The sequence below is a fragment of the Homo sapiens genome, chromosome 13 (assembly GCF_000001405.40).
Source record: "Homo sapiens chromosome 13, GRCh38.p14 Primary Assembly".
Taxonomy (NCBI): domain Eukaryota; kingdom Metazoa; phylum Chordata; class Mammalia; order Primates; family Hominidae; genus Homo; species Homo sapiens.
In genome coordinates this window covers 47,757,557-47,769,929 of record NC_000013.11, presented here as the reverse complement: position 1 = coordinate 47,769,929, position 12,373 = coordinate 47,757,557, and the positions used below count along the sequence as shown (strand labels likewise).

General features: G+C 37.6%; 2 pseudogenes; one reads left to right on the top strand and one right to left on the bottom strand.

The window, feature by feature from the left end:
- Positions 2,832-3,327, top strand: RPL27AP8 (ribosomal protein L27a pseudogene 8; annotated as a pseudogene).
- Positions 5,358-6,371, bottom strand: NAP1L4P3 (nucleosome assembly protein 1 like 4 pseudogene 3; annotated as a pseudogene).

Below are 12,373 nucleotides of genomic sequence, written 5' to 3'. Positions count from 1 at the left end.
CAATGAACATTGATCGAAAATCCTCAATAAAGTATTGGCAAACTGAATCCAGCAGCACATCAAAAAGCTTATCCACCATGATCAAGTTGGATTCATCCCCAGGATGCAAGGTTGGTTCAACATATGCAAGTCAATAAATGTAATTCATCACATAAACAGAACTAAAGACAAAAACCACTTGATGATCTCCATAGACGCAAAAAAAGGCCTTTGATAAAATTCAACACCCCTTCATGTTAAAAACTCTCAATAAACTAGGTTCTGAAGGAACATACCTCAAAATAATGAGAGCTATTATATGACAAACCCACAGTCAATATTATAGGGAATGGGTGAAAACTGGAAGCATTTCCCTTGAAAACCAGCACAAGGCAAGGATGCCCTCTCAGCACTCCTATTCAACATAGTTTTGGAAGTTCTGGCCAAAGCAATAAGGTAAGAGAAAGAAATAAAGGATATTCAAATAGGGAGAGAGGATGTCAAATTATCTTTGTTTGCAGATGCCATGATACCATATGTAGAAAGTCCAATTGTTTCAGCCCAAAAGCCTCTTAAGCTGATATGCAACTTCAGCAAAGTCTCAGGATACAAAATCAATGTGCAAAAATTGCTGGCATTCACATAAACCAACAACAGGCAAGCAGAGAGCCAAATCATGAATGAACTCCCATTCATAATTGCTACAAAAAGAATAAAATACCTAGGAATACAGCTAACAAGGGAAATGAAGGACCTCTTCAAGGATAACTACAAACCACTGCTCAAGGAAATAAGAGAGGACACAAACAAATGGAAAAACATTCCATGATCATTGATAGGAAGAATCAATATCATGAAAATGGCCATACTGCCTAAAGTAATTTATAGATCCAGTGCAATCCCCATTAAACTACCATTGACATTCTTCACAGAATTAGAAGAAACTATTTTAAAACCCATATGAAACCAAAAAGAGCCCAAATAGTCAACACAATCCTAAGCAAAAAGAACAAAACTGGAGGCATCACACTACTCAACATCAAACTATACTACAAGGCTAGAGTAACCAAAATAGCATGATACTGGTACAAAAACAGACACATAAACCAATGGAACAGAATAGAGAACTCAAGACCACACACTTAAAAATTGTCTGATCGTTAACAAACCTGACAAAAACAAGCACTGGGGAAAGGATTTCCTATTCGATAAATGGTGCTGGGAGAACTGGCTAGCCATATGCAGAAAATTGAAACTGGACCCCTTCCTTACAACTTATACAAAAATTAACCCAAGAAGGATTTAAATGTAAAACCTAAACTGTAAAATCCCTAGAAGAACATCTAGGCAATACCATTCAGGACATAGGCACGGGTGAAGATTTCATGACAAAAACACCAAAAGCAACTGCAAACAAAAGCAAAAATTGATAAGTGGGATCTAATTAAGCTAAAGAACTTCTACACGGCAAAAGAAACCATAATCAGAATGAACAGACAGCCTAAAGAATGGGAGAAAATTTTTGTGATCTATTTATCTGATGGAGGTATAATATCCAGAGTCTGCAAGGAACTTAAACAAATTTACAAGAAAAAAAAACCCATTAAAAAGTGGGCAAAGGACATGAACAGACACGTCTCAAAAGAAGACATTCATGCAGCCAACAAACATATGAAAAAAAGCAAATGCAAATCAAAACAACAACGAAATACCATTTCATGCCTGTCAGAATGGTGATTATTAAAAAGTCCAGAAACAACAGATGCTGGTAAGGATGCAGAGAAAAAGGAATGATTTTACACTGTTGGTGGGAGTGTCAATTAGTTCAACCATTGTGGAAGACAGTGTGGCAATTCCTCAAAGACCTAGAGGCAGAAATACAATTTGTCCCAGCAATCCCATTAGTGGGTATATACCCAAAGGAATATAAATCATTCTATTATAAAGATACATGCACACATATGTTCACTGCAGCACTATTCACAATAGCAAAGACATGGGATTAACCCAAATGCCCATCAATGATAGACTGGATAAAGAAAATGTGGTACATATACACCATGGAATACTATGCAGCCATAACAGGGAATGTCCTTTGCAGGGACATGGATGGAGCTGGAAGCTGTTATCCTTAGCAAACTAACACACAAACAGAAAACCAAATACCGCATGTTCTCACTTTTATAAGTGGGAGCTGAATGATGAGAACACATGGACACATGACGGGGGACAACACACACTGGGGCCTGTTTGGGGTGGGGGTGGGGGAGTGAGAGCATCACGAAGAATAGCTGAGGAACGCTGGGCTTAATACCTAGGTGATGGGTTGATCTGTGCAGCAAACCACCATGATACACATTTACCTATGTAAAAAGCCTGCACATCCTGCACATGTACGCCGAAACTTAAAAGTTGAAGGAAAAAAAAAATCATTTATGGAGCTTGTTTAAAATGCATGTGCCTGGGCCATACTGAGAATTTTATTTCAAGTCTGTTTATGCATATTTAAAACCCCTCTGCTAAGTCTGATGAACACATATCCACAATTAAGAACTATGACTTAATGTCATGAGACTATATTTGTCCTTGATTTATTTTCATATCAATGTGAAGATATAATGAGACAGAGTTCTGTTAAAACCAAGAATTCTTCAGAAATGAATGTGAGCAGTGACAAAACATCAGAATAGTGAGAAATGGTAAGACCATGCAACTGTTTCACATTGCAGCATGTGCCCAACTAGAATATAAGGTGCCATCCATGACAACCCAACATGACAGCCCAATGTCCTCCAGGCTATGCTGTTGGTTGGAAAAAATCAAGAATGTAGGCTATAACCCAAGAGTTTCTGACATACCATTCAGGCTGAGGAAGACCCAGAAACTTCTGGGCCATGTAAGCCACAGCCACAGCCTCATCAGCAAGCACCAAAAGCACTCCGGAGGCAGGAGTAATACTGGTGGCAAGCATCACCACAGGATCAACTTTGACAAACCTCACCTAGGTTCCTTTGGGAAAGTTGGTATAAGGGTTACCACTTAAAGAGGAACCAGAGCTCCTGCTCAAATGCCAACCCTGATAAATTGTGGACTTTGGTCAGTGTACAGACACAGGTGAATGCTGCTAAAGACAAAACTGGAGCTGCTCCCACCATTGATGTGGTGTGATCAGGCTACTACAAAGTTCTGGAGTTCTGGGAAACGGAAATCTACCAAAGCAACCTGTCATCATGAAGGCCAAATTCTTCAGCAGAAGAGCTGAGGAGAGGATTAAGGGTGTTGGAGGTGGGGCTTGAGTCCTGGTGGTATGAAACCACATGGATGGAGGTTTGTTAAATGCTAACAACTGCTACAAAAAAAAAAAAACAACAAAAACCCAAAATATGAAGTTAAATCCAGGTACTGTGATTGCTCACCTGATTTTTGGTTCTTGTGATGGTGCTTTCCCGTGTGCAGATAGTTGTTAAAATTTGGAGTTCCAGCAGTGGGGAGATGAATGGTGTGGCTTCTATTCCTCCATCTTGCTGCACCCTCTGTGGTTTGGTTTTTTAAAATTAGTTTTGGAAAGTTCTTGGCCATTATGTCTGAAAAGGTTGGTTCAACATATGCAAGTCAATAAATGTACTCCAATTACATGTATGTTAGAAAGCTTGGTATTATCCCATGTGCCTCTCACATTGTGTTTTCCCCCCACATTCTTCTCTCTCCATTCTCCAGTATGAATAATTTAATTGACAGTATTCAAATTCATGCACCCTTTCCTTTGATGTTCAATTTGCTATTAAGCCTTTCCAATTTATTCTTAATTTCAGATACTATGTTTTTCAATCTTAGGATATACGTGAATTAGTTTTTAGGGATTTCACTTCTCTTTTGAAGTTCTCCATATTTTTGTTCGTTTTGTTCATCTTTTACTCCCATTTATTTAACCTACTTACAGGTTAATTTAGTCTATAAGAGTCAATTTAAAGTCATTTTATTCTAATTCCAATAACTTTTTAATCTGTTGGTTTCCTTTCATTGACTGTTTCTTAACTTTCTGTTTATCAGTCATATGTTACTTTTTTCACATCTCATACTTTTTTATGGTGTGCTGGATACTGCATTTAAGAAACTTTTAAATTTTAGAATAGCTTTAGATTTGCAGAAAAATTGTGAAATTGTGTGGAGAGTTTCCACATACCCCTGTGAGAAAACATTTAAATGGTCCATTTTCAAGGCATGATAAATCTTATGTACTGGCAACCAGCCTGTGGATGTGACAAACCACACGGCTCATGCACCTAGAAAGTCACAATAAGTGGACAGAATGTAGAGGTGGGTTAGCCCATAAAAGGGAAAAAAGTTTCATTATTGGGAAATCAAAACTTAAGCAGGGAAAGGGACTGGGGTATAATCTTATAAGGGGGATAATGAAACCTAGGTGACATCCAGGAAGATTTTAATCCCATAGCACTCTACCAATGAGGACCTGGGGGAGAGACTTGCATGCTAGGAGATAAATTACCTGCTGTAACTGCTTCAGATGTGCCTGCCTACCAGACACCTGATCTTCCAAGATCACCATTAAAAGACTTGCTTCCACTGTTCTTTGTGTCTCTGAGTCCAGAGACACAGTTTGGATTGTTAAATGTGTTTCTCATGCCCCACATCCAGTTTTTCCTCTTATAAATATCTTACATTAGTATGGTATGTTTGTTATAATTAATGAGCCAACATTAATATAGGCATACCACAGAGATATTACAAGTTTGGTTTCGGACTACCACAATAAAGTGAATATCACAATAAAGTGAGTTACACATTTTTTTGGTTCCCAGTGAATATAAAAGTTATGTTTTCACTATACTGTAGTCTATTAAGTGTGCAATGGTATTATGTACATGCAATGTGCATACCTTAGTTAAAAAATACTTCATGACTATAAAATGCTGACACAGAGATATGAAGTGAGCATATGCTGTTGGAAAAATGATATCAATAAATTTGCTTGATGTAGGGTTGCCACAGACCTTCATTTCATAAAAACTATAGTGTCTGCAAACTGCAATAAAGCAAAGTGCAATAAAAAGAAATATGCCTGTATTATTAACTAAAATCCATACTTCATTCAGATATCCTTAGTTTTTACCTAATGTTCTTCTTTTGTTCTAGCATCCCACCCAGAACACTACATTACATTTAGATGCCATATCTTCTTATACTTTGTTTGGTGGACAGTTTCTGACTTTCCTTGTCATTAATGACTTGAAAACCTTGAGTATTGATTACACATTTTGTATAATATTCCTTAATTGGAAATTGTTTTCTTTGCAATTAGGCCAGGGTATGCATTTTTGGGAGGAAGGATTTTAATCCTTCTTTGGGTCATAGTCTGGATCATTTTCCTCATCTCCTTCTTGTTCTCCTTCCTCATCTGCTTCTTCACCTTCTTCATCATAATCATCATCATCCATCTTCAATAGCTTCTCCAGTAAAGTGTAACACTGATCCTGAGATTATACGTTCAGGTAAAAAGTGACCAGTTTCGAAGTCTGCAGCAAGGATTGTTTTAGCATCATCATCCCGATCTCTGCTCTCAGAAACTTCAGGAGGGGCAAAAAATTTAAAGAAAGAGTCATTGGAAACTGTTTTAGTCACAGTACTAACTGTCCCACGTCCCTTGTGTTTCTGCTTCTTCTTAATGGTTTTCAAAGTGACATTCTTTCCTTTTTTCCAATCTATCTGGCACCCTGTAAAACCCATAATTTCTGGTCCATCAAAATAAAAGGGATCAGAATCATCTGGTTCTGACCTCATGCTATACGTCTTTGTCAGCACTTCATTTGTAAAATATTCATTGTCTTCAAAGTGAAATTCTAAGACAAAACTCATGGGCTGGCAAGCATCTGAGAACTTCACTTTAATATCTTTCAAGTGTTTCAGAATAGGTTCATCACGCTCCTGAAGCATATCACTGAGCAAGTCAACATTCTTAAAAACAGTTAACCGAAATTCAGGAATTCCTTTGGAATCTTCTTTTTCTTCATCTTTTTTCTCATCTTCAATCATGGCCTTTTCTTTCAACTCCTCTGAGATCTCATCTTCTTCATCTGGTTTCCATTCTTCTTCTGTAGGTTCATAATTGCATTAATAATCTCAAATTGCTTATCAAATAGAGGCTGACAGAGAACAGCATACTTCCTTTCAAAATTGTGAACTTCCTCATTGAATTTGGCTTCTATCTGTGCACATTTAACTTACAGGTGTTTGAGAGCATTCACTTGTTTTTTAACTACCCTAGGCAGGCTTTCAATGTATCCTGTTGGTGTTTCTATTAGACCATCAAGTCTTTCTTGAAGGGCTGCAAGAATCTGAGGATTTTGCATCATCTGAACAGTTAGCTGATGTGCTTTGATTTTTGTTTCTTCACCAGTTCCTTCTTCTACTTTTTCAGCGTCATCCAAATCTTGATCAAGTTCAGACTGTTCTTTGTTGTCAATGTCTGCCATGTTGTAAGAACTCCAAATATTGGCAGCTAGTATGGGGAGCCAGGCGGCCAGAGCTGTGCAGGCAGTGACTCAGGGTTGCAGCGGTGGCTCCATGAGTAGATGGCGCCAAAAAAGCCATCACACATTTTCAAGATTGGTTTCTAGATACAGTAGTGACAACTGATTAGGTAACTTTCACCACTAAAATTTTCAAATATAGTAAATAATAATCCATTGCACATTTCTAAATCACTGAGAGTAAGTTTCAAGTGTTCTCACCACAAAACATGACAAGTACTTGAGGTCATGACTATGTTAATTAGGTTGATTTAATTATTTCTCACTGTATTCATAAATCATAGCATCACATTGTACTCCATAAATATATACAACTATAATTTGTTAAACTACAATAAAAATAAAGATTAAAAAAATCAACCTGTTTTTTAAGGTCATATGAATGGCTTTTTCTGATTCTTTCCTGAGAACTTTTTTTTAATAGGAAGAGAACTCAAGGATACAGTACGTGGAATCCAGGAAGGATAACATGGACACACAGGAAGGGTTATGGCAGGGAAAGAATGTAGATACGATCTAGAAGGTTGGGTTGACACAGTCACATTTCTCCTACTCAGATATTTTACTTGGTCAGCCAGTGTGAACTGCCAGTTTAACATGTGGAGAAAGTAGAACAGTGCATGTTTCAACCTCCACCATCTTATGAGGCTGCAAATCTTGGTTCCTTTATTTTACCTATTCTCTGTGGGTTACCTACCTGGGGACTGAGCCACATGCATTATTCCCTACTTCCTAAGAGCCACACTGATCTCCCTCTTTTTCTATCTTTGAGAATTTTCCTTAGACGTCAAGGTCAAGTTGCAAGGGGGAGCTGTAATTGTTCTGGTTTGGTATCCTTGGGTTAAGAGGGAGTAAGGAACAGTTGTCAAAGCACCCTTCTTTCTTTTGATCACAGGTGATCCTATGCTGAGAGGAGTATGGTATGTTTTATAAGCTTTTCAAGAAGTGGCAAAACCAGGCAGTGAGAAAGCAAACCTCTTCTCTTTAGTGCAAAGTGTAGAGGGGCCATGATAATGCTTAGAGCATGATGCAATACATTATAAGCACTCAATAGCTATTAGTTGAGTGAATCAAGTGCTGTGGGTTTCTTCCCTCTTACTTGTCTTTATGGCACCTTATTACTCTTTGGGTATCTGTAACTGATGCTGATGATGTCTACTGATGTCCTGATGTCCCTCAGTAACTTCTAAACTTTTCCCAGTGTTTTTCTTCTCTGAAACACTCTGGCATTTGAAGGTCTTACAATTCAATCTAACCCAAGTTACATACCACCTTGAACTTTTGTTGTGTCTCATAAGTTAGGTAGTGTCTATCTGGAAAATAGAGAGGCACATCATTGGGGCCACCACTGCTTTCCCACCCTATTTTGACCAAAGAGTGCCCAAGGAGGTCCTATCTTCAGAAACCAGCAAGAGCCTTAGTAGGGAACATATAAATGAAGTGGTCACTGCTTAAGGGAGTTTCCTGGCCTGCTTTAGAATTAGACTTTTGTCCTTTCCCATTCTTTTCTGAAGAATGGTAGAAACTCCAGTTGGAGAAGAAACCAGGTTTCTATCCACTCTATGCTATTTTAAAATTTGGTTTACAGCAGAGAGAAGGATGTCTGCTTACTCTTACAAGAAGGACTCTATCTACACAGAAGGGTACTTCCTGAGCCTATATAAAGGTTTCTCAATATGTTAGGTGCTAAGCAGAGAGGTGGAGCCTGTGAAATATAGCTTTTATAAAACAAAGGGACTAAGAAGCCCATTTGGAGGAATTCTTTGGCCCAAACTGCAGAGCCATAGGAAAATTGAAGTCATTCTTTAATTATGGAAGCCCTATTTAGGGGTTTTCAATGTGTGGTCAGAGCTTATATCAGAATCATCAGGGAGAAGTTATTTAAAATGCTGATTCCTGGTCAACTCTTTGCCAGCTGAATTAGAATCTCTAGGGTTGGGGCTAGGAAAATCTATGTTGTAAACTAATTTCCCTTATAATTCTTCTAAGTCACTAAATAATGAGTGCTCTAGGGGCCGTCCTTTAAATTTTATACTCTAAACTTGAAGAAAACACTCTCTGTTTGTTATATTGATAATTTTAATGTTATTTTTGGCTTAAATAGTGTGGTAGGCAGAATTCTAAGATGATGCCCAATGACTCACCCCTTGTAAAACTCTTTTTCTTGACTATGGGTAGATCCTGTAGCTTGTGTCTAATCAGTAGACCATAGCAAAAATGATGGAATATTACTTTTTGGATTATGTTACCTTATATAGCAAAGGTAAAGGAATTTTACAGATGTAATTAAACCCCCTAATTAGTTCACTTTAGGTTAACCAAAAGGGAAATTACTTTGGTAGGCCTGACCTAATCAGTTGAGCCTTTTAGACGAGGGTCTAGAGGTAGAGAGAAAAGAAGCAGAGATGTCTTCCTGCTGGCTTTAAGGAAACAAACTGCCACATTGTGGAGAGGGTCATACGGCAGGGAACATGTGCAGCCTCTAGGAGAGAGAGATCCTCAGTCCTACAATCCTAAGACTTGGATCCTGTCAGTAACCAGTGAGCTTGGAAGAGGAGCTCAGCCTCAGATTGCAGCACCAGCTGACATCTTGAGGCAGCCATGTGTGACCCTGAGCTGAAGACCCAGTGAAGATGTGCTGGGATTGTGTGTACTTAGACCCATGGAAACTGTGAAGTAATAAATGTATATTTTCTTCTGCTGATGTTTGTTATACAGTAATAGAAAATTCATGCACATAGTAGAGAATAAAATGTCTTATTTTTCAAGAATTGTGAATTACATATAATCTTCCCAGTTGCTTTGACATCTATAGCAACATTGGGGTCCTGGTACCTGTTGGGGAATAGGAAATCTTTCCAAAAGCTACATGGGAAAAAATTGTTTTAAGAGCATCAGTTTACATATGTTCAACATCCATACATACTCTTTTCTGTGATCTATTGTCTTGGAAAGGAGCCTGCAATTCAGGAAGCCACGTGCATCCTTCTTTTCTGCCTTTGTTTTCACTTTCCAAAAGAAAGGCATAAATTCACACCTCTGAAATCTTACCACAGTGAATAGTTCAGGGGTATAAAAATCTCCAATCCAATGAAAAATATCAGTTATGATGATGATTTCACTGATTAAAGGATTTTATGACTTTCTCTGTCTTTTACATATTTCTGTGGGGTGAAAACTGTGGCATTAGAAATGGTATTTCAGCTTCTGTGGCAATGCTCCAAACTCAAATATATTGTAAAGTAGGGTAGCAGAAGAGATGACATTTTCTTATATCCCCTACTTGTCAATGACTGCAATACTTCCCAGGGAGAGGCACATGAGAGGAGAGAGAAGGGAATATGCTCCATTCTCTCTTCACTTCAGGATGCAGTCACAGAGCAGCTCCTACCTGGTATGTGGCAGTGCTCACAACAGAAGGAAGAGACATAGCAGTAAAACGTGGTTGCTCCTAAAGATGCTTGGAAATATTGAAGATCAGAGAAGCCTTATTTTGTCCAGGTAGCAACTTCATGGAAAAGGTCTGTTTCAATATATATATCTATGTTAGAATTCAGAAGTGAGATGCTTGTTACAAGAACATGTGTTAACAGTTACTTAGATTGAAAAACGAGGACAGACTTTTTCTAATAGAAAGCAAATCCAATTTGACTGATTGATTTTGTAATGACAACTGGCTTTGCGTGGTGGATACCTCCACAAGTTGACAGAGCTGAGTCTGCAGTTATGAGGTTTGGATGCATATATTGAATGATCAGATAAAAATATGTTATCAGCTGGGTGTGGTGGCTCACACCTGTAATCCTAGCACTTTGGGAGGCCGAGGCGGGCAGATCACCTGAGATCAGGAGTTTGAGACCAGCCTGGCTAACATTGTGAAACCCCGTTTCTACTAAAAATACAAAAAATTAGCCAGGTGCGGTGGCTCGTGCCTGTAATCCAAGCTACTTGGGAGGCTAAAGCAGGAGAATTGCTTGAACCCGGGAGGTGGAGGTTGCAGTGAGCCGAGATCATGCCATTGCACTCCAGCTTGGACAACAAGAGTGAAACTCTGTCTCAAAAAAAAAAAAAAGTTATCAAAAATATTTTTTGTAAGGAGTACTATAATTAACAATATTTTCATTTTCCAAATTCATTCTATATTAGATTACACAAAATGTTTTCACGTAGAGTAGCAGGTATATATATTTGTTGATAAGCCTCAGTAAAGCCATTTAAAAAATAATTCTCAGAAATTAAGTGAATGAGTATAGTGACGAGATAATGAATAATTTTAAAACTCAGTTATTTACAATTCTTAGGTTTTGACAAAATTAAAGGAGAATCTAATTGAGTTGTCAGCCAATAAAACATTAAAATAATTTTTGACAGATTGCAATATAATTTTTGGCATTTAAGTCAGAAGCAAAATTTTTTTCATTCTAATTTACTTACCTATGTGAAGAATTTTTTAATTGCTTACATCTATAAAAATGAAAAAAGAGTAATGGATTTGATTTTGAAAGAGTTTGAATAGGTGACTAATAATATCAGAATTTGACTTTGTGGGGAAAGTAAATTGAAAAATATAAGTTCTGGAGCAAAAAGGAATGATGTAAATTTTCTAACTATCAAAGAAAACTTATTTATGTCATTTTAAACCATATGATAGCTTGTCTTATGACTAGATATTTTACCCAATTTGGCATGTTTGAAAGAATGATGGAATAGTTTTATTTAAATGGTTGATTTTTACAATGTGCTGCAAATGACAACTTTTGAACATTTTAAGGCATAAAATGGAAAGTTTTAGCTGTTCACTTTAACAATTTAGAGGAGACTTCTAGTTTCTCAAAAATTATTTTAGGATATATACAGTTAAAAAATGTGAAGGCCATTGATTGCCTTAGTCAACAATAGTCTAAGGAATACTGGGTGAATTCCAGACCTCAGAGGCTTACAACAATGTGGATTTGTTTCTCGTTCATCTTACTTGTGCCTCTCCTCCATGCTTCAGGCCAAAGAGGTGCCTACCTGGGACGTGACTGTGTTCTTGGCAGAGGTGAAAGACATGGAGGTCACGTGGTCACTTTCAAAGCTTAAGCTTGGAAATGGTGCCACGATTTTCATCCCATTTTCCGGACCAAAGCAACCCACATGGCCAGGCCTGACATCAATGGAGCAGAAAGCAAAATCATCCCACTGGAAGGATCAGCAAATAATTAGGAATAAAAATAAAAACTACCACAGTGATCTACAGAATTACAGACACTTATAATGGGGTAAAATATGGAAATGCACAGTAAAAACGAAGTTGCATAAAAGAGAAAAATCAAGAGGGGCCTCAATATAAAAATAGAGGTACAAGGACAAAATTTAGTGTGTTATTAAGAAGATAGACTTTTGCTTATTTGGAACAACTTGTTTTCTGACTCATTTGAAATAATTTTAGTTGCAGTCATTTAAATGCTTCATGGAACAGAGCTTTAAGGCTGCTGACATATATGTGCGTCAAGTCCAATCAATAGCAATTTTTTTTTTATCTGAACCCTTACGAAATTTGATGTTTTGTGTTGGCAGGTTTGTTTCATCTTTATCTTTCCAGTAAGTACAGCTTCACCACTTGCCATTTGTGAAATGATTTGTTCGTCTATTTGGAAACAGAATGTTAAAAGTTTGTCAGGGAAAATGATGAGAAAACAAACCCTGTTTTGAAATCTTAAAAGTTTCCCAGTGTAAGAAACTTCGTAGAAACCTTCTGGAACTCTAAGATGAGAACTCAAAGGATCAGCCAGTCAGTCAGCCAACTCTTACTGCCAGTCTGTAACATAAATGCTTCCAATATTCAAAGCTGTTCTGTCAATTGA